Below are 23840 nucleotides of genomic sequence, written 5' to 3'. Positions count from 1 at the left end.
TACTAAAGTCCAGGAGGCTGTGGGCAGCCCCATGAGCCAAGTGGAACCACCAAGTTGTCCAACTCATCCCCTTGAAACCCCATTAACTGAAGCTCTAGGAGGTCATAGGCATTTGCCATGCACCGTCCTAGCTCTCACCAGCGCTGGACATCTCCAGCCCTGCCGAGATGACCCCCACTGCTCGCTGGGGGGCAGATGTCTGGCTGACAAGCCTTTCCCTAATTCAGTGGTTTGCCATTTATGATGCCCAATTATAACACCTGCAATGCTCAGATTCAATCCCTATGACTGGGCCTATCCATGACTGTGCATCTTTTGTTCAGCAAAGAAAGCCTGTTGAAGAACAATTTCAAGGAGCTGGGAAATGCATAAAGCCTAAAGGGACAGGGTTTCCCCAGAACTTTAGTGAAACAGTGCTGGAAGAACCAGCGATAGTTAACCAGGTAGTCTGGAAGTGCCACAGTATTCACGGCAAGTAAAGGGAAAGTGAAATCAGTGAAGCGGACAGACCTCTCTCCAGGCCATGGCAAAAGAAATGTTGATGGCTGATGTAATACCTTGATTCTTATTTTCTTAGTTTAAAAGAATTCAAACAAGAAACACACAGCAAAAGAAGTACAGCATAGAGTAATTTATTGCACACAAAAAAAGAAAAGACTACTTTGAAAATTAAGTGCAGAATAGACGGTACATTCTGAGAAAGAGATTCCAGGGCAGGCTGCTCATAAGAGTGAGACACCATTAATTGTTACTGGAGAAACCCTCCTTCTGGGGGTTTTGCACGATTATTCATAAGAAGGTGGAAAGAAGTGTTAGTGTAAGCATGTTTTGAGTGGTCTTCTGGGTGCACATGTGCACTAACTGTACATATTTGTGCATACATTGCATGTCTCATTAGCATCTTAAGTCTCCACCTAGGAATGTGTTTTTACTATTAAAATGAGCAAAAGTTCAGTTTGAGGACAGATAAAATCAAAATGCACATGTTCTCTAGAAGTAAAAGTCCCTACTGAAGATAGCGGGTTTCAAACGACCCCAAGTGCTCCACATCTTAAATGTCGCTCCAACAAAGCTGGAACACTATCTGCTCCTGAGGGATCCGGTCCCATTTGTGTTTCTGAGACACTGGCAAGTCAGGAGTGACTTGAGATGAGACCGATGATTTCAAGTGTAAAATGCCTAAATAGTCAGCAGCTTCAGGTTTCATTTTGGAGCTTGTCCACTTAAATGGGTTGATGAAAATGGCTCACAAGACTCATGCCTCGGAAATGGGGTTTTCTCCTTTGCTCTTAGCAGATTTTGTGCAACCCAATAATTAACCTTCCTGATGCCTCAACTTTCACATTCGTGAAAAAGGCGCCATTGACAGTGACATTTCCAGGAAGCCACAGACCTTGTCACCCCCTACAGAATTCTGAAGCTGTTCATAAGCAGGCCACGTGGAAGATTTCTCTCAAAAGCTGTTGAGCATGAGGCTTGGCTAGAGAAAAAAGAGGGCTGCGGCACAATGGACAGTGTCTCAGACATCAGGACAGTTTCCACAGCAGTTTAGGAAAGAAGGCAGCGCCCTGGGCTGCAGAAGGCGCAATGCTCTGGGAAGAACCCTGGGTGCAGCTGAAAGAGGAACTTGAGAAGGATAGGGCCAATCAGTTGAGGACAACCCGCCCGATTTGGGCAAAGGTAAGGTGCCTATGTAGGGTAATACCCTCCTCAATGCTCAGCGCAGACCTGTCCTCTAGGTCCACCTATGTACTCATTCTCCTTGGCAAAGAGTCGGCATAGCATAAGAACTCAGCAGTGCTTTGGACACCGGGAAGTCCACACCGCTCTGCCCCTCCCTCCAGGGCTATGCACCCCGGGTCCCGGTACATGCTGTGATTATAGTTCTGAAGCCTACCGACAAACAGGCTGAGAGCAGTTAACAGACTACAGCTCCCAGCATATTAGGTAGGGCGTGTACCACTCGGCCCCTTCTTCCAGGCCTGTACCTCGCCCCCGAGACTGGCACATGCTGGGATTGTAGTCCTGTAGCCCTTTGACCAAAGGGCTGGGAGTGTTTATAAGAATACATCTCCCAGCAAGCCGAGGGAGACGCACACAGCCCCGCCTCTTTCTCCACTGACGGGCCGTGTCCCTGACCCCAGTGCATAATGGGATGGTAGTCCTGCAGCCCTGTGACACAAGTTCTGGTAGTCTTTATGAAACTACATCTCCCAGCAAGCAGAAGGAGGCATCCACATCCTAGACTTTTCCTCCAGTAATGCGCACTCTCCCTGAGCCGGGTGCATGCTGGGATTGTAGTCCTGCAGCCCGGTGATGAGAGGTCTGGGAGTGTTTATGAGACTGCAACTCCCACCAAGCCCAGAGAGGCGTGCACAACCCTGCCTCTTCCTCCAGTGACGCGCACATTCCCTGCGCCCGGTCCATGCTAGGATTGTAGCGCTGCAGCCCAGTGACCAAAGGGCTGGGAGTGTTTATGAGACTGCATCTCCCAGCAAGACCAGCGAGGTGTGCAGAGCCTCGCCCCTTTCTCCACTGATTAGCGCACTCTCCCTGATCCCGATGTATGCTGGGATTGTAGTGATGCAGCCCAGTGACCAAAGGGCTGGGAGTGTTTACGAGAATACGTATCCCAAAAAGCATAGCGAGAACAGCACAGGTCCACCTCTTCCTACAGTGACGCGCGTTGTCCCTGAGCAGGATGCATGCTGGGATTGTAGTCCTGAAGCCCTGTGACCAAAGGGCTGGGAGAAATAAAGAGACAACATCTCCCAGAAAGCCCAGCAAGGCGCTCACACGCCTTTCTCTTCCTCCAGTGAGGCGGACTGCCCCGGCGCCCCGTGCATGCTGGAATTGTAGTCCTACAGCGATGTGATGAAAGGGCTGGTAGTGTTTATGAGACTACCTCTCCCAGCAAGCCCAGAGAGGTGCGCACAGACCTACCTCTTCCTCCAGTGACTAGTGCACTCTCCCTGAGCCAGAGATATGCTGAAATTGTACTGCTGCAGCCCTGCGACCAAACGACTGGGGTAGTTATGAGACTGCATCTCCCTGCAAGCCCAGCGAGGCACGCACAGCTCCACGTCTTCCTCCAGTGATACACACTGTCCATGAACCCGCTGCATGCTGGCATTGTAGTCCTGCAGCCCTGTGACCAAAGGGCCAAGAGACCACATCTCCCAGAAGACCTAGGGAGACGCACACAGCTCCGCATCTTTTCCCCGTGTCGCATACTGCTTTGATCCCGATGCATCCTGGGATTGTAGTCCTGTAGCCCTGTGACAAAAGGTCTGAGAGTCTTTATGAAACAACATCTCCCAGCAAACGCAGCGAGGTGCGCACAACCTGCCCCTCTTTCTGCAGTGATGTGGACTCTCCCTGAGCCCCGTGCATGCTGGGATTGTAGTCTTATAGCACTGTGACCATAGGGCAGGGAGAGGCCATGGGACTACATCTCCCAGGAAGCCCAGCAAGGCGCACACTGCCCTGCCTCTTTCTCCTTAGACTAGCGCACTGTCACTGAGCTGGGTGCATGCTAGGATTGTAGTCCTGCAGCCTTATGACCAAAGGGATGGGAGTGTTTATGAGAATACATCTCCCAGTACGCCCAGGAGGTGCACACAGCCCTGCCTCTTCCTGCAGTGATTAGCGCACTATCCCTGAGCTGGGTGCATGTTGGGATTGCAGTCCTGGATCTCTGTGACCAAAGGGCTGGGAGCGTTAATGAGACTACATCTCCCAAAAAATCACAGCTAGAAGCGCAAAGCCCTCCCTCTTCCTCCAGTGACGCGCGCTGTCCCTGAGCCCAGTGCATGCTGGGGCTGGAAGTGTAGTCCTTCAGGCCTGTGATGAAAGGGCTGGGAGGTTTTATGAGAATACAACTCCCAGCAAGCCTGGCGAGTAGCACACAACCCCGCCTCTTCCTCCACTGACGCACAATTTCCCTGAGCCCGGTGCTGGCTGGGATTGTAGTCTTCCGCCTCTTCCTCCAGTGACAGGCACTGTCTCTTAGCCAGGTGCATGCTGGGATTGTAGTCTTCCCGCCCTATGACCAAAGGGTTGGGTATGTTTATGAGAATACATATCCCACCAAGTCCAGCGAGGCGTGCACAATCCCGCCTCATTCTGCAGTTACGCGCACTATCCTTGATCTTGGTGCATACTGGGATTGTAGTCCTGCTGCCCTGTAATGAAAAGTCTGGGTGTCTTTATGAAACTACATCTCCCAGGAAGCCAAAGGAGGCGCGCAAAACTGTGTCTCTTCACCCAGGCACATGCACTATCCCTGATCCCGGTGCATGATGGGAATGTAGTCCTGCAGCCCTGTGACCAAAGGGCTGGGAGTGTTTATGAGACAGCATCTCTCAGCAAGCAAAGCAAGGCCTGCACAGCCCCGCCTTTTCCTCCAGTGAGGCGCACTGTTCATTAAGGAGTGTTCATGAGATTACATTTTCCATCAAGCCCAGCGAGTCACGCACAGCTCTACCTCTTCCTCTGCCGGCGCGCACTGTCTCTGATTCCGGTGTATGCTGGAATTGGGGTGCTGCAGCCCTGTGACCAAAGGGCTGGGAGTCTTTATAAGACTACATCTCCCAGCAAGCACAAGAGGTGCTCACAGCCGCACACCACCCTCCCCGCCCCACTCTTCTTTCAGTGACCGCGCACTGTCCCGTGAACCTGGTGCATGCTGGAATTCTCCCGTTGCGGGATTCAGGAGGATGAGAGAGACCCCGGGTTGAAACAGGAGAATTTTTATTGAGTGCACTCAGTGTCAGGCCTCTGAGCCTAAGCTAAGCCATCGTACCTTCTGTGACCTGCACGTACACATCCAGATGGCCGGTTCTTGTTTTAACTGATGACATTCCACCACAAAAGAAGTGAAAATGGCCTGTTCCTGCCTTAACTGATGACATTGTCTTGTGAAATTCCTTCTCCTGGCTCATCCTGGCTCAAAAGCTCCCCGACTGAGTACCTTGTGACCCCCCCACTCCTGCCCGCCAGAGAACAATCCCCCTTTTTCCTTTACCTACCCAAATCCTATAAAATGGCCCCATCCCTATCTACGTTTGCTGACTCTCTTTTCGGACTCAGCCTGCCTGCACCCAGGTGATTAAAAGCTTTTATTGCTTACACGAAGCCTGTTTGGTGGTCTCTTCACACGGACCCCCATGAAACTGAGGACAAGCTAACTCACATCAAAAAGACTGGGCCCGGAACAAAGACAGAACCTGACTTTTATGCACATTTCACAAAAGGTGGTGGGCTAGCTTGAAGCAAGTTTACAGTGGCGTGAAAGCAGGGATACAGAGGCAGGACAGACAGGATTGCACATGACCGTTGCCAAGCAACCCACATGTCCATTTTCTAGGTTTCCCTGGGCATGGGCTTATCCTATAACCCTCACTATGGTGCCCAAACAGCTGTAGTTCAGCCTACTCAGGCTTCTCATGACTTACATTGTACTTCTTAGATAAAACAGAATACTTGAAGTCACTAGTTACAGAGAACAAGAATCTATAAACTCATTCCGTAAAAAAAGGAAATTTGTTTTTCTTTTCCCGATGTTGGGGGAGCGTTGGGAGAGCCTCCAGAGCACATTAGATAATATTATCAAGACTATTCCTGGTTCTGGGCTGTGCCTGTTGAAGCCTCTGGGACAAGTCAGCCCAATACAAGAAAATTTATTTCTCTTTCTTTTTAATTTTATTTTTCTTTAATTTCCCTCCTCAGTCCCACAGCCCTGTGACCAAAAGACTGGGAGTGTATGTCAGGCCTCTGAGACCAAGCCAAGCCATCGCATCCCCCGTGACTTGCACGTATACGCCCAGATGGCCTGAAGTAACTGAAGAATCACAAAATAAGTGAATATGCCCTGCCCCACCTTAACTGATGACATTCCACCATAAAAGAAGTGTAAATGGCCGGTCCTTGCCTTAACTGATGACATTATCTTGTGAGAGTCCTTTTCCTGGCTCATCCTGGCTCAAAAAGCACCCCCACTGAGCATCTTGCGACCCCCACTCCTGCCCGCCAGAGAACAAACCCCCTTTGACTGTAATTTTCCTTTACCTACCCAAATCCTATAAAACGGCTCCACCCTTATCTCCCTTCGCTGACTCTCTTTTCGGACGCAGCCCGCGTGCACCCAGGTGAAATAAACAGCCATGTTGCTCACACACAGCCTGTTTGGTGGTCTCTTCACACGGACGCGCATGAAATGTACAGTTACGCTTCTGTTCACTTGTCATGAGACTGTTTTCTTTTACCCCCATGAACGTACTTACCATAGCTTCTTTCAAATCTTATCTACTGATTACAGCATCTTGCACATCTTGAGAATAGGTTCTATTGTCTGCTTTTTATCTTGTGAATCGATTACACTTTCATGCTTCTTCACACATCTCATGAATTTTTAAATTGTGTGATAGGAACTACAGGGACTCTGGATTCTGTTGTATTTCTTTGAAAATTATTATTTTAAGAGGGAGTTAATTTGAATAGATTCAAACCCCAATCCTTATCTCTTCCACAGTGGCATAGATAAAATCTTCATTCAGTCTTCTAAACAGTGTGCCTTTCTATATAGCAAAATATAGTATTTTATTAAGCTTTATTATTGTTATCTGTGAAATAGTTATTCAACGAACTAGTCTACTTCATTATTACTGGAAACCAGAACCTCAGTTGTGTTCACTTTCTGGATTTTATATAAGTGAAATTATATAATATGTATACTTTTACATCTACTTTCTTCTAGGCAACTTTATATTTATGATATTAATTCATGCTATTGCAGATAGCTATAGTTTGTTTATTTAAAAAATATTTTTTACATTTTGGCAAAGTATACATAAAATTAACCATCTTAACTATTTTAAGTGTTCAGCTCAGAGAAATTAACTACACTCACATTGTTTTGCAACTATTATTCCCATTCATAAGGATCTTTTTTCAACTTCCAAACCAAAATTCAATACACATTAAATAACAGCTCCCTGTTACTCCCCCTCCAGCTCCTAGGAACCACTCTTCTACGTGGGTTTCCAGAATTTAACTACTCTAAGTATCTCATAAGTGGAATGATACAGTATTTGTCCTTTTATGACTGGCTCATGTCACTTTGCACAATGTCCTTAAGGTTCATGCATGACGTACCATGTGTCAGAATTTCCTTATTTTTCATAACTGAATAATATCCCACTGTATGTATAAATCACATTTTATCTATTTATTCATTGATGATAATTCAAACAACACAGGTAATTCAAAAACCTTTTGAGTGATGTGAGTCATGCTGCTATGAGCTTAGGTGTACGTGTATTATTTTGTGTCTTCGCTTTCACATCTTTTGCAACATACCAAGATGTGAAATTGCTGGATCATACGGTGATTTTGAGTGTAAATTATTTCGTTACTATGGTGTTGTTTTATAGCAGCTGCAGCATTTTACATTTCCACCAAGTGTACAAGGGTTCTAACTGCTCCACTTCCTCACCAACACTTGTGATTTTCTGTTTTTTTTTTCTTTTTGTACTAGTTATGCTGATGTGCATTAAGTGATATGTCATTTGGGGTTAGATTTTCATTTTACTAATGAAAATGAAAAGGTTTTGTTGAGTACCTTTTCATGGGCTTATAAGCCACTTCACATAATTTTTAGAGAAATATCTGTTTAAGTATTTTGCCCATATTTTAAACAAGTAGTTTATTATTGCTGAATTGTTCTTTGTATATTCTGGATAGAGTCCTCTTTATCTATTTTTCTTTTGTTTCTTGCATTTTTGGTGTCCTGTTAAAAGAAATCACTGCGAAATCCAGCCTTATGACGTGTTTTACCTACATTTTATACTAAGAATTTTGTAGTTTTAGCTCTTACATTTAGGTCTTTGATCCAGTTAGTTAATTTTTTCTTATAGTAGAAGTTAAGGGCCCAGCTTCACTCTTTTACATGTGGGCACCCAATTTCCCCAGCACTAATTGTTGTAAAGGCAGTTCATTTCCCATAAAAATCATTTGACCTTATATATGAGGGTTTATTTATATGGGCCTTCTATATTACTCCATTAGTCTCTTTGTAGCATGCTATTTTGGAATTTTGTAGTAAGTCTTGAAATCATTAAGTGTGACTTGTCTAACTTTGGTATTTTTTTCAAAATTATTTTTGCAATTTAAAGATCTTTGAGATTCCCCATAAACTTAAAAATTGATTTTTTAATATCTACACAAGAGTAATTGGCATTTTACTTCTTCGTTACTTCCTAACTACTTTATTCTTTTGATACTATTGTAAATTGAATTGTTTTCAGAGTTTTCTTCTCAGATTATTCATGTTACTACATAAAATGCAGTTTGTTTTTGTATGTTGATTTTGTATGCTACTATTCAGCTGAATTTATTAGTTGTAATATTTTTTGGTGGAATCTTAAAGATTTTCTACATATAAGAATATATTTTCTGTACACATTTTGATGCAGTTTATTTCATTGTCTTTTTTAATTTCTCTGAATGAAACTTCTAATACAGTGTTGAATAAAAGTGGCTAGCAAGAGCAGATATTCACTCTGTCTTCGGAGCTTAGAGGAAACACTTTTGATCTTTTCCTCTGGAATATGTTGTTTGCTGTGGGTTTTTATATGTGAATTTTACAAAGCTGGTTTCCTTTTATTCCTAATTTATTGTTTTTATTATAAAATATTTTGAATTTTGTAAAATACGTTATCTGTATTAATGAGAGAATACTTTTTAAAAAGTTTGTCAATGTGGCATATGCATTGATTAATTTTCATATGCTTAAACTTTTGTTAAGAAAGGCTAGCTAAGTGAACCAGTGAGACTGGAAAAAGAATAAAGAAATCTATACTGGTTGTGATCAATTATTTGTAAACACCACTGCACTGAAACCACCCATATGCTAAAACTTCCTTTCATTCCAATAATAAACTCCCCTTGGTCATGGGTTGTAATCTTGCTAGTATGCTGCTGAATGTAGTTAGCTAGGATGTTGCTGACTAGTTTTGCATCCGTGTTCATAAGGGATATTAGTCTATGGGTTTTTGTAGTATCTTTGTCTGGCTTCGGTATGAGCTAATGGTGGCTTCATGGAATAAGTTTGGAACTGCTCTCTTCAGGCTTTTGGTAGACTTTGGAAAGGATTTTTGTTCTATAAATGCTTGATCTAAATCACTAGTGAAGCCAACAAAATAAGGGCTTTTCTTTATGAAGAGGCTTTTAATTACTGATTCCATTTCCTTAGTAGTTTTGTATCTATTCAGATTTTGTATTTCTTTGTAATCAAGTCTTGTATACCTAGGAATCTGCCCACTTTATCTACGTTTTCCAATTTATCATCCTATCATAGTTCACAGTACAGTTTTTTAAACATTTTAATTCTTTGAATTAGTAGTAATGTCCCACTTTCATTTCTCATTTTAGTATGTGAATATGCTGTTAATTTTTTGTGTGTGTAGCTGAAAGTTTGCCAATTGTTAATTTTTTGAAGAAGTGAGAATGAACTTTTGGTTTTTTGGAATTCTGTGGTTTGTATAATCTCCATTGCATTTATCTCTGCTAAAAGCTTTAATATTTTCTTCTTTCTCTTTGCTTTGCATCTAATTTGGTGTTATTTTTCTAATTTACTAGGTGATAAAGTTATTATTTATTTGAAATCTTTGTTCTTTTTAAATGCATTTTAGCTGCAAACTTTACATCTTAGCACTCTTTTTGCTGTTTCCCTTAACTTTTGATGTGTTTTGTTTTCATTTTTCTTCCTCTGTAAGTATGTTCCAACTTCCTCTGTGATTTCTTCCTTTACTTATTTGTTGTTTAAGGGTATGTTGTTTAATTTATACAGTTTTGTAAACTTTCTAACGTTTCTTCTGTTATTGATTTAATTTGAGATCTACTACACAGCCCATCGTGGGGAAATCCCCATGTGCATTTGAGAAGAGTGTGTAGTCTCTTTTGTTGGATGGAGTATATTGTATATATCTGTTAGATCAATTTGGTTCATTGAGTTATTCAAGAACTCTATTTCCTAATTTATCATCTATCTCATTTTTCTATTCATTACTCAGAGTGGAGTATTAACATCTTCAACTATTATTTTAGAACTGCCTTTTTGCCCCTTTAATTCTGTCAAGTTATGCTTTCTATATCTCAATGTTTTATTATTAGGTATGGGTTTAAACTATTTCTATCTTCCTGCCAAATGGACAATCTATGACTATATAATGTCTTATTGTCTCTTTTAAGTTTTTAAGTCTATTTTGTCTGCTATTAATATAGTCATTCCCAGTCTCTTTTTCATACTATTGGTATAAAATAATTATTTTCTTCCTTTTTTTTTATAACCCTCAAGTCCTGTGGAAGGCTAAGAGCAGCATTACTTAATTTAAAAAGCAGATAAATCTTAAATCCATAGTTTAATATTTCTAAAAGCATTTAAATGGAAATGAGCTACGCAGTCTACCAGGAACGAAGGATATCAGTTGGGTCTAAGAATAATCATGTCAAAAAGCTCTAGGAGGAAAAGCTGCTGGGAATTAAGACTGTGATAACGGTCTTTGGGATCAAGAAGGAAATGGGGAATTGGGGATGCTCAAGGTCAGGTACATGCTTAGCAAAAGACCCAGAAAACCCTAAGCTCTCACCTCTGCATTTTAAACTCTGCACAAGTAGAAAGTAGAGGCTCAAGGAGAGATGTAACTTTATGCTGATTGGTAAAGGCATGCTCCAACACACATACATAGATCTCAGGTGAAAAAATCAGATATTTATGTTTAGTGAGAGTTAAAAAATCTGGAGTCTTACTTTCCAATTAAGGTTTAGTGAAAATATTTGGGGAGATTTGCATTGATCAATTCATCCTGAGGTCAAGAAAATCTTGATTTTGGCATTTGGAGCCTCTAGTAAAGGACTAGCCTCCTCCCAGAGGTGTTCTTTGGGCTTTTGGACTCAGTGACACACTACTGGTTACACTGATTTGAAAGTCAGCTAAGAGCTTGCTGCAGAACTCCTGACAAACTCAGTTTCACCCATAGAGGGCTAGAGCATCCCCAGCTGGTTGAAATTTTATGCCTCCTTCTATCCTCTGAAGCAAAGATGCTGTCTCTGTGGGGCCCCCAATTTACTGAGTGTTTCCTATATGACTGGTCCTGGTTCATAGATGAGTCAGGGAAGGTGAAACCTCATGATGTCCACTGGGCTGCTGTGGCTGTTTAACCTGTGCCAGCCATACAGAACCTGACATGAGTGGTTGCTCCTCTCAAAGGTCAGAACTCAGGGTTTGGGATAATGGCACATATTCTATCTGTTTGGTTATCTACAATGGAAACTGTAGACTGTCTGAATATCTTTTGGGCTGCAAACTGGAGACAATCTCAGATGCTGATCTAACTGGATCACTCATCTAGAAGTCCATGGTAAGGGTTTGTTTTCTAGAGAGTGACAACAATCAAGCTGCAGATTGAACCTAAATCTGTGTCTAACGCAGAGTCTAATACTGCAAACCAGACTTGGGGTTGCTGGTGAAAGTTGACCTATTTGTCTCATGGTTGAAGAATTCCTAGACCATACCAAGCAGAGTAACCAGAAGTGGACTTTTGGCCCACTTCTTGAGATATCAGTCACCACTCTTGACATCTTCAGCATAACAGTATGCCGACACCATCCATACCATGTGTCCCGTGAAGCTAATCTGTGCCATCTTTTAGGCTTTTGAGACCAATTGAGCTCTGACTTCGCGGCATTTTTCACCACACGTACTAAAACAAGCCAACTCTATGATGTTCCCTCCTTTTCCACACATGCTGGTTAGATAATTTGTTGATTAGGTATGGTTTATTTTCTCTTCCTGATTGCCTCCAAGATAAGGATGAAATGTTTGGGGGATCTAGGAATCATCTAGGAATCTATTTCACAAACTTGGAATTTCGTGCTAATAATTCCTGGGTGAAATGTGACTTTCTTTCCCATAACTGCAATTCTAGGCAAGCCTGGCTTTTGTATCCTCTGAGTTGCATCTCAGCCTAGTAGCAGTTATGGGACTCCAACTTAGTTCCAGCTAAGTTTTATGTAAATATTCTTGTCTCTATTTTACCTGGCTCTAGTAGATAAAGTGTCTAGAAAAAAGTAGAGGGCGACTAGAATAAAGATGAGATTATAGGTACCGGAATGAGACACACTGATTCTGTGGAAGTAGTGGGAGAACAACCTGGAACCTGGGGTATGAACAACACAGACCTCGGAAGCTACGGGAAACGGTGGGACATTAACAACTTTTTTTCTTTCTGAACAACCCCTGGTGCAGCCCACAGAAAGGTCTGGAAATACTATTAGTTAGATCAGACGGTAAGGCAGAGGCTGTGGATTCATCTCCTTTTGGTCCCCACATTACTCTTAAGAATCCTTTGAGACTATTCTATCTCTCCGTGATGTAGGCATGGAACTCTAGTGGGCAGTGTGCACTCTCGGTGCCCATGGTTCCAGGCCACAGTTTTTCAGATGATGGACAACAATTGCTTTTTCCTGAAGAGACTTAGTACCCTGTGGCTGAGCTTAAGCGGGACTCTAGACAGCATTGATTGCATTTTCTTCTTCCTCTACGAACTGGGATTTCTCCTTCTGTTTTTCTACTGCCTAGAGGTGAATCTGTATTTGTCAATATTTAGGTAAATCAGAGACATAAATCAGGTAAGGAACCCTAGACACTGCTTCTAGGCTAGCTGGACTCTTGCCTATTTCCCTTCTCACTTTATGAGATCAATTATATTGGCACAGGTTGATACCCTTAGATAGTGTCTCTAAGGAGCAATTAGAGAAGCATACTTCTAGAGAAGCTGGTAGGACAGGGCAGGAGGGCCAATGAGGATCAAAGTTTCTGTCCAAATTTTTGAGCCTAGGTGTGTGTGGCCGACGAATCCAGGAAAGATCCCAGATCCCTGGAAGGGATTGTTAAGAGAGGATCCATTAGATTAGAATGCTAGGGTGGGTGTTCATCCGTCGCCTTCTGAGTGGGATTTTCAGGGTTAAGACTGAGGTAGGGCTGCAGAGAAATGCTATCCTGGGAAAGCCTCTGATCGAGTGCAACATAGGTGGCTCCAGCACAAGGAGAAGTCCTCTATTTGAGGAACATTATACTTGTGTGGATGTGTCTGTGCTCTTCCTCAGCAGAGCCCCACTGACTGAATGATTGTTTGAGAATTATGAGTAAAGAGCCCTATATTATTTTGAATTTAGTAAATATTGGAAGAGAAACAAACAATATTATCTACTTTCAAATTGAATAACAGCATGAGCAACTTTCAGGAAAATGTCACAGGAGGAAACTCCAGGGCCTTGCTCATCCCTGGAAACCTTGAAAATCCTGATGCAACCTGTAGGGTTAAACTTATCAATACTTAATTTTTTGCCATATAGATTTATCTTCATAAAAAATATTTTCATTGGACCTTCATTTTGATATATGCCATGAAGAATAAATCATTTATTTCCTTTGTGATAAGAACATCACATTTTTACACCTCATGTATAAATGATGCCATCACCCATGTAGTTTTTATTGCTATGGCCTGAATGTTTATGTCCCCTTTCAAATTCATGTGTATAATTTTAGGCGTGAGGCCTTTGGGAAAGTGGTGAAGCCAAGAGTTCTTCATCTTCATGAATGGAATCAGTGCTCTTTCAAAGGAAGTTGAAGGGAATGCCCTTGTCCCATGTGCGAGATGGTACCATCTATGGGGAATAGGGCTCTCACCATATACGAAATTTGCTGCTGCCTTGATCTTGCACTTTCCAGACTCCATAACTGTGAAAAATACATTTCTCTTATTTATCCTTTACCCAGTCTAAGGTATTTTGGTATAGCAGCCAAGATGCACTATGACACTTTCTTAGACACTTTGGTTTATTTCTGAATTTTTAGTTTCAGTGATCCATGAGTTTTTTAATCAATCAAGATTTTACACAGGGCTTGCCAGTGGTTTTTTTTTTTTTCAGAGTTTTCTTGTCTATTCTTGTTTGTGTTTTCATCTATATAACATTTTATAGTAACGTGTACTTGCAATATTTAATGGTATCAGTATAGGAACAAAATTGAATTTATAAATAACTATAAGGACAATTGATGTTGATAATATTGAGTTTTTCTGCCTAAGAATATGATACAAATTGTCTATTTGCTTATGTCTACATTCATATATTTCATAAACTTTCTATGTTTTTTCCATATTCCGTAGATATTTTTGTAATATTTATTCCTAGTTTATTCTGCTAAAAAGTAATTTGAGACACAATGAAATTGCAAAGTGTTTATTTGAGTAAGAGCAATTGATAAATTATAAAATATCAGACGGAAAGATATTGAGTGCTTCATTGACAGTGTAAGAAGCAAGTATTTATTTGAAAAATGTAGAAACAAAGAAATCATTTGGTGGTAGCACAACTTTTTTTATTGTTTTTTGTTTGTCTGTTTACCTTGTTGGACAGTTTCTATTTATATAAGGTTGTTGGCTACTTCTGACTGGTTGAGCTTCATTTCTCTTTTTTCAATATGCAGCTACAAGAAATAATTTAAGTTTTGTTTGTATTTGCAAATCAAGCGAGGTTGAGATCACTTATGAGACCTAACTAATTTTGTCTGCTCAGAGATTATTGAGACATGATCTCCATTTTAATTTCCTTTAACAAATTTTCTGTACTTTTACTTTCCATCCAAACAGTAACTTATAAATTATTATTGTTGTACATATGTAGGCCCATGTTGTGTATGCTTTGAAGACCTGTCCTGCATTCAAACTCATTTGTATTATGTTATTATTGAATTTGCCCCATTTATTGGAATTATAAACTGCAATCCCCCAACTACAAGAGGTATGAGCTCTGATGAGATAAGAGTAAAGATGAATCAGAAGTGAAAACAGTCCTCCAACCCACACATGCAGTAAAAACAAATTTCACATGAATACAATGAGTAATTATCTAAAATTTAAAGTACCCTGAAAACATTAATGTTTATCTCATTATTATGTAATATGGAAATTACAAGGCAAAAAAATCCAAAGACTTACTGTTTAAATATAATTGAAGTTTTTTATATGATGAAGTGCTCCATAATTTAAATGTAAAAAGCCAATAGGAAATATATGAAATAAAATAAAATTATACGTAAAAGTGACAATGCCTCTATTAGATTTAACAGTATCTTACAATAGAATAAGTTGAAACCTACAAAATGGAAGAAAGTTTAAAATTAGGCAGATATTATCAGCCTGGTGAAGAATAAATACATATGTCAATAAGCATTTAATGTATTTTGTCTTAGATTTTACATGAAATAATAAAAAGTAAGCAAACCAATAGCATGGTAGTTTCACCCTGATTGATTCAAACTGAAAAAATATTAACATTTCTCCATGAGAAGTTGGATTCATGGATTGGCCTCATGCTGCATTCAAGGCACTTTAGCCAGGATCCAACACTCATTGCCAAGAGTCAGCAGGCTAGAAGTTTGCTTTTAAGATGTTCCCCGGCCTGCGACCAAGACGCTTTTTCCTGACTACTTCTTCAACTCTGACATAGGTTTTGCTGATATAAACGCAAACCCGGCTCTATACCTACCAAGTATCTACTTGGCTAGAGCTGCAAATGGAGCATTTAGGCACTAGGCAAGAGCTCTTCCCACGTTTCCAAGCACACTTTCTAGAATTTCCCAAAACTACTGACATTGTCTTTCAGACCCCATCTCCCAAAGAGAATCAGAGAGATGGTCTGGAAGCCATTTAGAATCTCCAGCCTCCAACCTAGTAACAATGGACTTGGATACAAAGACGCAACCTACTGACCTCAAAGACACCAGCCCAGATTCTGGGCATTGAATTCCTGCCTCCCCATGAAAGATCTCAACTGAGTCACATCAAAGCCCACACTCTTCTTCAAGGTTCACCTTCCAGACACGCTCCAAAACAGTCCCTCAGAATTGTCTTGAGATGAAACAAAAGGTGATGAAGGTCCAGGTTTGGAATGCCTGCCTCATTCTTCACTCCTGAAAAGTCTACACCTGCTGGTTAGCACTCTCATATGTTAGGGAGCCCGGGCTCTGAGTGCATCCTTTAACAGGACCTCCTGGCCTTTTCCTACTTGGAGTAGAGTGCCCAAGAATAATAGGGAATACAAGGCCTCCACTCTCACATGGCTTGATTGACTGATGAACTGATGTCGGAGGAGGAAACATATGTAGGGAACAGCCTGGGTCTTGTGAATCCGTTTCCCAGCTATGATGCCTGTGCAAATGGAGGGAGAATCGTCAAGTATTATTGGGTGGTAGACAGACACTGCCTAATAAAATTAAGTAAATGTAAGGTGACTTGAAGGGGAATTTATCATATGTCATATACAAAATTTTAGTTGGTCAACTTTATTTAAAAACAGTCACAATTTGTAAGGGCATTCAAATATAATTTTAATAGGGAGCTATGAAAATTATCTGCACTTGCTATGTAAGTGATTGAGTTAGGGGTAACTATCTGAAGGTCATGAGCTTGATATCTGCTACTTAATTTCATAAGACATTTACTTGCAAATGGTTGCCATTTTTGCTCTCACTATATGAAAATTTTTTCTTGCAAAGAGCATTCCTATGAAAGAAAAACTAGAAATTTTGCCAATTTCGGCTATTAAAACGATAAAACTGGTTTGTTTGTTATTCTTAACCAAATGCTCTTACAGATGACACATAGTACCCATGCTTTGATTGTTTTTTGTTTTTCTTTTCACCTTAGGTCAATTGCCTTTCATTTTATTTATCAAACTGTATTTACTGTAGATAGACATTGCAGTTCTCATGTGCCCTATGGATTTGTACTTTCTTAGAAGTATGAAAAAATTCTCAGGCTGAGTATATTGGCTTATGCCTGTAATCCCAGCAATTTGGGAAGCCGAAGCAGGTGGATCACCTGAGGACAGGAGTTCAAGACTAGCATGGTCAACATGGTGAAACCCCATCTCTCTACTATTCACAGTTCACATTGTACCTTGCAATGAATATACATTTTATCCAAAAAGGCTAAAAAATAATGAAATTGGGGTGGAAATGGCTGGAAGTATAGGTGAAACAAAAATGACACATGACTAGTAGCTGTTAAATCTGGGTGACTGGTCTGTTATCCTTTTTTTGTATTATGTATACGTTTTTAATGTTCTGTAATAAAACACGTGTAGAAAATGACAAAGTTTATCTACACTTAGCTCTTAAGGTCTTGGTTACCTTTGGGAAGGAGAAAGTGTCAAGGGCATGAGCAAATCTGATTCTTACATACACAAGTGTATTTATTTAGTAATAATTCATCAAGCATTCCATAAATATTTTGTTCCTATATTGCTGTATGCATGTTATTCATCAATAAATATTTAAATAGTACATATTTGCATAACAATCCTAAATTAATATTTTAGAATAATAGTAATGTTTTGTTTTGTTTTAAAGTGGGGCGTGTTCACTCAGGACATCGTCAGGTGTATATTAATGTTCCAAGATATTTATTTACGTTTTAACTTTTGGAAGAGTCCCCTAGGTCTTTTAATTTTTACCTCAGTACAGTAAGTAGCATGGTTTTAACTTTTTGGATTGCAGCTTTGTTTTCAGAAAGGTTCTCCCCGAAGAATGATGCTCACCCCGGCCAGCGCACACAGCACAGTGACCCGTGCACAGGATGCACTGAGCACACACGGCACTGGGTGAACCATGAACAGAAGGACAAGCCAGCCTGGGTCTGCAAAATATACTTTGCAGGAAAAGCAGGTAAAATTGAAAGGTCACAATTCAGCAGCAAACGTTTTTACATTCATTTGAGAAATCATTTCTAACAAAAGCTGCTCGTTAAAGCCATGGTTTTCTGGCTTGCCTACACATTGTAATCACCTGCACAACTTTCAACCGTATTTTTTTCAGATCCAGCTCCAAGGATTCTGATTTAGTTGTGCGGTTACAACTTGGGTTTAAGGGATTTTGATAGTTTTCCTCCCCGCAGGTGACTCTCTTGCGCCAGGGGTAAGAAGCGCTGGATAGGGGTGAGGGGTGCTTTAGCTGTGAGAGATAGCCATGTACGCTTCAGGATTTGCCCCATCGCATATCTGGAGTTCGGGGTCTTAGAAAATATTCTTGCCCTGTTAAAAATTAAAGGATGGCTTCAATACAAATTTAGCTATTTGGCTACGTTGCAGAAAAAGAAAATGCCTTTCCAGAGATCAGTTTTTTGAGTCAGAGTTTTGTTCTGTCAGTGAGGCTGGAGTGCAGTGGTGTGATCATGGCTCACTGCAGCCTTGACCTCCCAGGCTCAGGTGATCCTCCAGCTCCAGCCTTCTGAGTAGCTGGGACTGAAGGCATACACCAGGCATGGCTAATTTTTCAATTTTGTTGTTGTTGTTGTTGAGATGGCTTTCTCTATGCTGCCTGGGCTAGTCTCAAACTCCTTGCCTCAAATGATCCTCCCACATCAGTCTCCCAAACAGTTCAACCTACACGAACAGGCAACCATGCCTGGTGTATTTATTAAAATGTAGCTACTAGAATATTTAAAATTCACATGTGCCTCACATATTATTTCTTAGAGAATTGCCTCATTTTTGAAATCTCAGGCTGCCTGCTCTAAAACCTGGATGTGCCAGGAAAGTAAAACATCTGAAATTTTAAAACAATTGTCATTATATTGCTTCCATGTATGAATAACACATATATATTTTTCATAAATACAAATAATCTTACACACAAATGAAAATGCAAGTATTTTACAGGCAGGGCCAGTGTCCAGTGCATGAAGGAAGCCCTGCCAGAAAAGGATCCAGGAAAAACTTATAATTCTTGCTTTATTCAATCCAGTGTCAAATCACATATGTCACTCATGGCCTGAGGGGGCTTGGTGGGGAATTGAACTATATCCAATCATGGGTGCTGGAGTGGAAATTATCTAATCAGGTGCACAGCTGGAGAAGAATGGGCAGCTTTTTGGATCTAGGGATGCCTTTGCCTGTCTCTCTACTCAGAGCTCAGGACACTAGAGCCACCTCAACGCAATTGCCTGTTTTTTAGTTGTTTTAATGCTCCAAAAGAGAATTAGTTTTCTCATGCATTTTCCAAATGTGTGGCAAGAAGAGCCTCAAATCTACCACCCTGTTACCCCAGCCTAACTCTGGCTTGCTGTCAGAGTTTAAATTTCCAGTTCTTTCCTGACACTTACCAACACTAACTAACCTTGTGTAACTCACAACATTATCAACTGTTCTTTATTGTACATTTTAGACACAGTATTTTAATTCTGCATTTTTTCAAAAAGCAGTGGATGACACTTAAAAAAATATTTTTCATTTGTAAACATTTTACAGGACATGAAAGCAGATAATAATCCCCTGACAATCCACAGTAAAAAAAAAGAAAAGAAAAGAAAAGAAAATATTTGTGCCCCTTTCTTTAATCTTCCCTTGGCACAGACACCCCATCAGAATGTTTTTGGGTTGAGGTTTCATTTCAGAAACCTCACAGGGCAATACATCCTCAGCCATCTTGTGTTATTTTCTTGGTTTTGGGTTTCAAAACTGTTTGAGAATCCCCAAGATACCAACACTGGCCATGACTCTTGAAGTGTCTAGTAAATAACATCCCTTGTGTCATCTCCTCTCAGGGAACAGCCCAAGGTATGGGAATGCAGCCTCTTTTTGGAGTGGTTGGATGCACTATACCTGGAAGGAATCTCCACGTATACATTTGCGCTAAAAGCAAACCCTTTAGGACATTAAGAATTTCTTACCCCAACGCTTAGTTTCCATTCCTTAGAGACACATTGCATGCCAGGCAACTGGATGCTGAATAGTGAGGAAAAAATGTCCTCAGATTGGTGAAGGGAGAGAAAATATTTCAAAGGACAAAGAAACCCAACCTAGTGAGGCAGTGCAAAAACCTGCAAAGTAAAATGCACCTCACAGACACAGTGGAGCAGAGCGTAGCAGCTCCTGGTAGGACGCTCATGACCCACATCACTGAACCAGATAGAAGCAGGGAAAATATCCCAAGTAATAGAACGGCTTGACTTGACCCTTGGGTCAGATATGTCTGTGTTTCAATCACCATTGTCACCTTCTAATTTTGTCACCTTGAAAATATGATTGTATTTATTTTAACTTCACTTTTTCATTAACTGTAAATTATGTTTTATCAGTAGAGCTTCAAAGGTATGAGAATATTTATAAAGCACATTAAGTTGGTGAATTTTGAATAAAATTAAGTAGTAATGTATTTCATTTGTTAAAAATTGTTACTTACCTATTTCCTCAGCAGAATGAGTGTAGCATGTCTCCCAGGTCTGTTTTTTATTTGTTTGAGAGGTGATTTCAAGCAGAATCTCACAGCTTACTGTTGGAAATGCTATCAGTTGTAAAGATAGGGAAAATCTCTCTTCCACTACGGTGGTAGGAAATGAATACATATCTGCAAGCACATGAGGTAGATTAATTGTCAAATTACATAAATTTATCACATAAGTTATTCTTTTTTTCAAAAGAGAGAACTTGTGAAAGTGAATAACTCTATTCCATATGCTGCCATCTGGGTGTTTGAGGGTAATGTTAAGTTTTAGGAGCTGGGACTTTGCACCTCCTGGAAGTGTTCACATATGATTAATTGTTTACTAAATGATTTGTTTTGAACATAATTAAATTACATGTTTATTTTCTGAAAGGGATAGATACTTTGGCTTTTCTTGATGAATTATAAGATATAAGCCCCTTATAATGTTTTTATTTTATTTTATTCTGTTATTTTTTAGATGTAGTTTCACTCTTCTTGCCCAGGCTGGAGTGCAATGGCAAGACATCTGCTCACTGTAACCTCCAACTCCTGGGTTCAAGCGATTCTCCTGCCTCGGCCTCCCGAGTAGCTGGGATTACAGGCATACAACACCACACCTGGATAATTTTGTATTTTTAGCAGAGACGGGGTTTCTTCATGTTGGTCAGGCTGGTCTCAAACTCCTGATCTCAGGTCATCTGCCCGCCTAGGCCTCCCAAAATGTAGGGATTACAGGCATGAGTCACCATGCCCGGCTGTAATTTCCTCTCTTTTATATCTTAGATTTGAATAATTTTTGCTGGATTCTTCAAACATGAAGTATTTTTTGAATTGAAAACTAACTGAATGACTAACTGGTAAATAGAAGTCTTAGACCATTGACTAAAAGCTAAGGCCCACCTTGACCCTGCAAAAGAGGACCACTGAAGGCCCAGTTGATTATTCCTGGGTGTCTGCCCTGCAGGTGTCCAAGCCTACTCACACCAACCATGGAAGGAGCCTTTGTCACTGCCAGAAGATATAGAGCCTTGGTAAGCTGGAAGTTCACAGGCAGATGCAGTTGAGGTTGAGATAGAAGAAATGTTGGGAGATTCTTTTTAGAATGGAATTGTTATTGTCCTCAGACTGTTTCTAGACTTGGTCTAAGAAGTTACCTAAGAAGTATTGCAACAAAGAAAAAGTACAAATGATTAGATCTTTGAGTATCTCTAAGGTTAGGTGGAAAAGGGCCTTATTTCATAGGGAGGAGAAAACAAGTTTACAAAGAAGGTTGGAAAGGAAGCACACGATGGAGGGTAGCAAAATGCGATCCCAGATAAGATAATGTTTCACCTTGAACTCAGCCTGTTCTTAGGAGGGGTATGTATAAATAAGGGTTGTAGGTTTGCTGAAGCTGTGGGTGAGTCAAAGTTCAGGGGCTGGTTGGAAGAAGAGAAACAAGCAAAGTTTCTTTAAGAGTATGTTATTTGGACCACTGAAGACTAAATTACTGAATGGTTGTTCATTTTTAAAAATGGGAATTTGCAATCTGTGTCCATTTTTGTGATAGGTTAAAAAAACAGCAGGGAGCATCCTCAAAGTCATCAGGGGAAGCACGTTTCTCTTCACTAAGCTGTTCTTTGAGAATGCAAAGAATGGGGGAATTTCTTTAAATATAGCTATTTCCAGGATTGCCTTCACCCACAACTGTTCCTTGCCCTAGACATCTCTTCCATTTGGCTGTTTCTGAGTTATATTTTTATAATAAAGTAGTAAATATAATTACAGTTATTTGTTGAGGTTTTCTTTTTAGTAATTCTATCAAATTATTTAACTTGAAAAGGGGTTTATGCTAGTCTCAGATTTATAGGAGGTAGCTCAGAAGTGTAGATGGGCTTCAGGGATGTGTAACTCTCCTCTACAGTGAGAGGGGTGATGTGGGACTGAGCCCTGAATTTCTGGGATCTGTGTGAACTCTAAGTTGTGTCAGAATTAAATTTTGGGGCAACAAATGGGTGTTGGAGAAGCAGTGGGTTTTCAGGGAACTTTACACATTTAGGATCAAAAGTGTTGTAAGGAGAAAGACAATGTGGGGGCCTCTGCTGGAGAGAGACTCCAGGTGTCTCGGGGAAGGTAGGCTCTGCTCTGCACACAGGCTGCTACACCATGCACTGCCCTGTGGTTCCAGGCATTCTCCCATGGTAAGAAGGACCGACGACTCTGAGGGAAGAAGTTCTGAGAACAGATGCCTTCTACCCTCCTGCCAACCTGAGGCCACCACAGGTTTTTCACCCACTGAACATACACACTGCATGTTGATGTGGCCAAGCCCCTCTCAGGACAAGGCTTTGGCATCAAGATTGTTGCCCATGCTACCTTTCCTCATAGACTTTCCCACCAAAAACCCACACATGTGCCTACAAGACCCCTGGCATACGTTCTACCTCAGACACCGAATCTGCAGGGGCAACCTGGTTTTTTCACCATCCCAGGTTTCTGTGCCACCTGATCATAATCTCGTCTTCCTGCATGGACACAGAAATAAGTCAGAGTAAAGTTTCACCTGGGTCAGTATCTGTAGCATGAACCAGTCCTTCCACCAACCCTGTACTGTCTCCCAACTGTGGGTTCTTAATAGCACCTTCCCCTCTTTTACCTTTTAGTTCACCTCAAACCTTTTATTTACGTGCACTTAGTGTGTCCAAGCCACCCCTCAGTTGCCTGAATCCAGCACCTACTAAAATTCAGATGTCCAGTAGTTCAAGACCATGGGCCTAGACCATGTTTTTGCAGAAGGAAATACATATTAGAAATGAGAGGCTCTATTCTCCCATTTGAAAATTAAAAAAGATATTTTTTCTTTTCCCTTTTCTTAAACAATGTAATTTAGAGAACTTTTTTTAGTAATTTTTTGAAATGGAATCTTACTCTTTTGCTTAGTCTGAAGTGCAATGGCATAATCATAGCTCACTATAACCTTAACTTCTTGGGTTTGAGCAGTCCTCCTGCCTCAACCTCTTAATTACCTAGGACTATAGGCATGCACCTCCAGGCCTAGCTAACTTTTTATTTATTTATTTATTTATTTATTTATTTATTTATTTATTTTTTCAAGACAGTGTCTTGCTCTGTGGGCCAGGCTAGAGTGTAGTGGCATGATCTTAGCTCAATGCAACCTCCGCCTCCCAAGTTCAAGCAATTCTCTTGCTTCAACCTTTTGAGTAGCTGGCATTACAGGCGCACAGCACCATGCCTGGCTAATTTTTTATTGTTATTATTTTTAGGAGAGAAAGGGTTTCACCATTTTGGCCAGGCTGGTCTCGAACCCCTGACCTCATTATCCACCTGCCTCCGACTCCCAAAGTGCTGGTATTACAAGCGTGAACCACCATGTCCAGCCATATTTATTTTATTTATTTTTTTATGGTGACAGAATTTCACCATGTTGCCTGTACTGGACTCAAACATTTGGCTTCAAGAGATCCTCCTGCCTTGGCCTCCCCAAATGTTGGGATTACAGGCATGAACA

At 40.8% G+C, this 23840-nt stretch overlaps 1 long non-coding RNA gene across 1 annotated transcript in view; it reads right to left on the bottom strand.

The window, feature by feature from the left end:
- Positions 1-14291: 14291 nt before the first annotated feature.
- The window catches only part of LINC03104 (long intergenic non-protein coding RNA 3104), a 38368-nt gene continuing 28819 nt past the window's right edge, over positions 14292-23840 (bottom strand). Inside the window, exons 2-3 of the long non-coding RNA NR_170984.1 lie at positions 20309-20473; positions 14292-16277 (exon numbers count right to left, since the gene is read on the bottom strand). This is a non-coding gene — a long non-coding RNA (long intergenic non-protein coding RNA 3104). The remainder of the gene's footprint in view (positions 16278-20308; positions 20474-23840) is intronic.

Source organism: Homo sapiens, chromosome 21 (genome assembly GCF_000001405.40).
Source record: "Homo sapiens chromosome 21, GRCh38.p14 Primary Assembly".
NCBI lineage: Eukaryota > Metazoa > Chordata > Mammalia > Primates > Hominidae > Homo > Homo sapiens.
The sequence above is the reverse complement of the archived record's forward strand: the minus strand, read 5'-3'. Positions and strand labels throughout refer to the sequence as shown.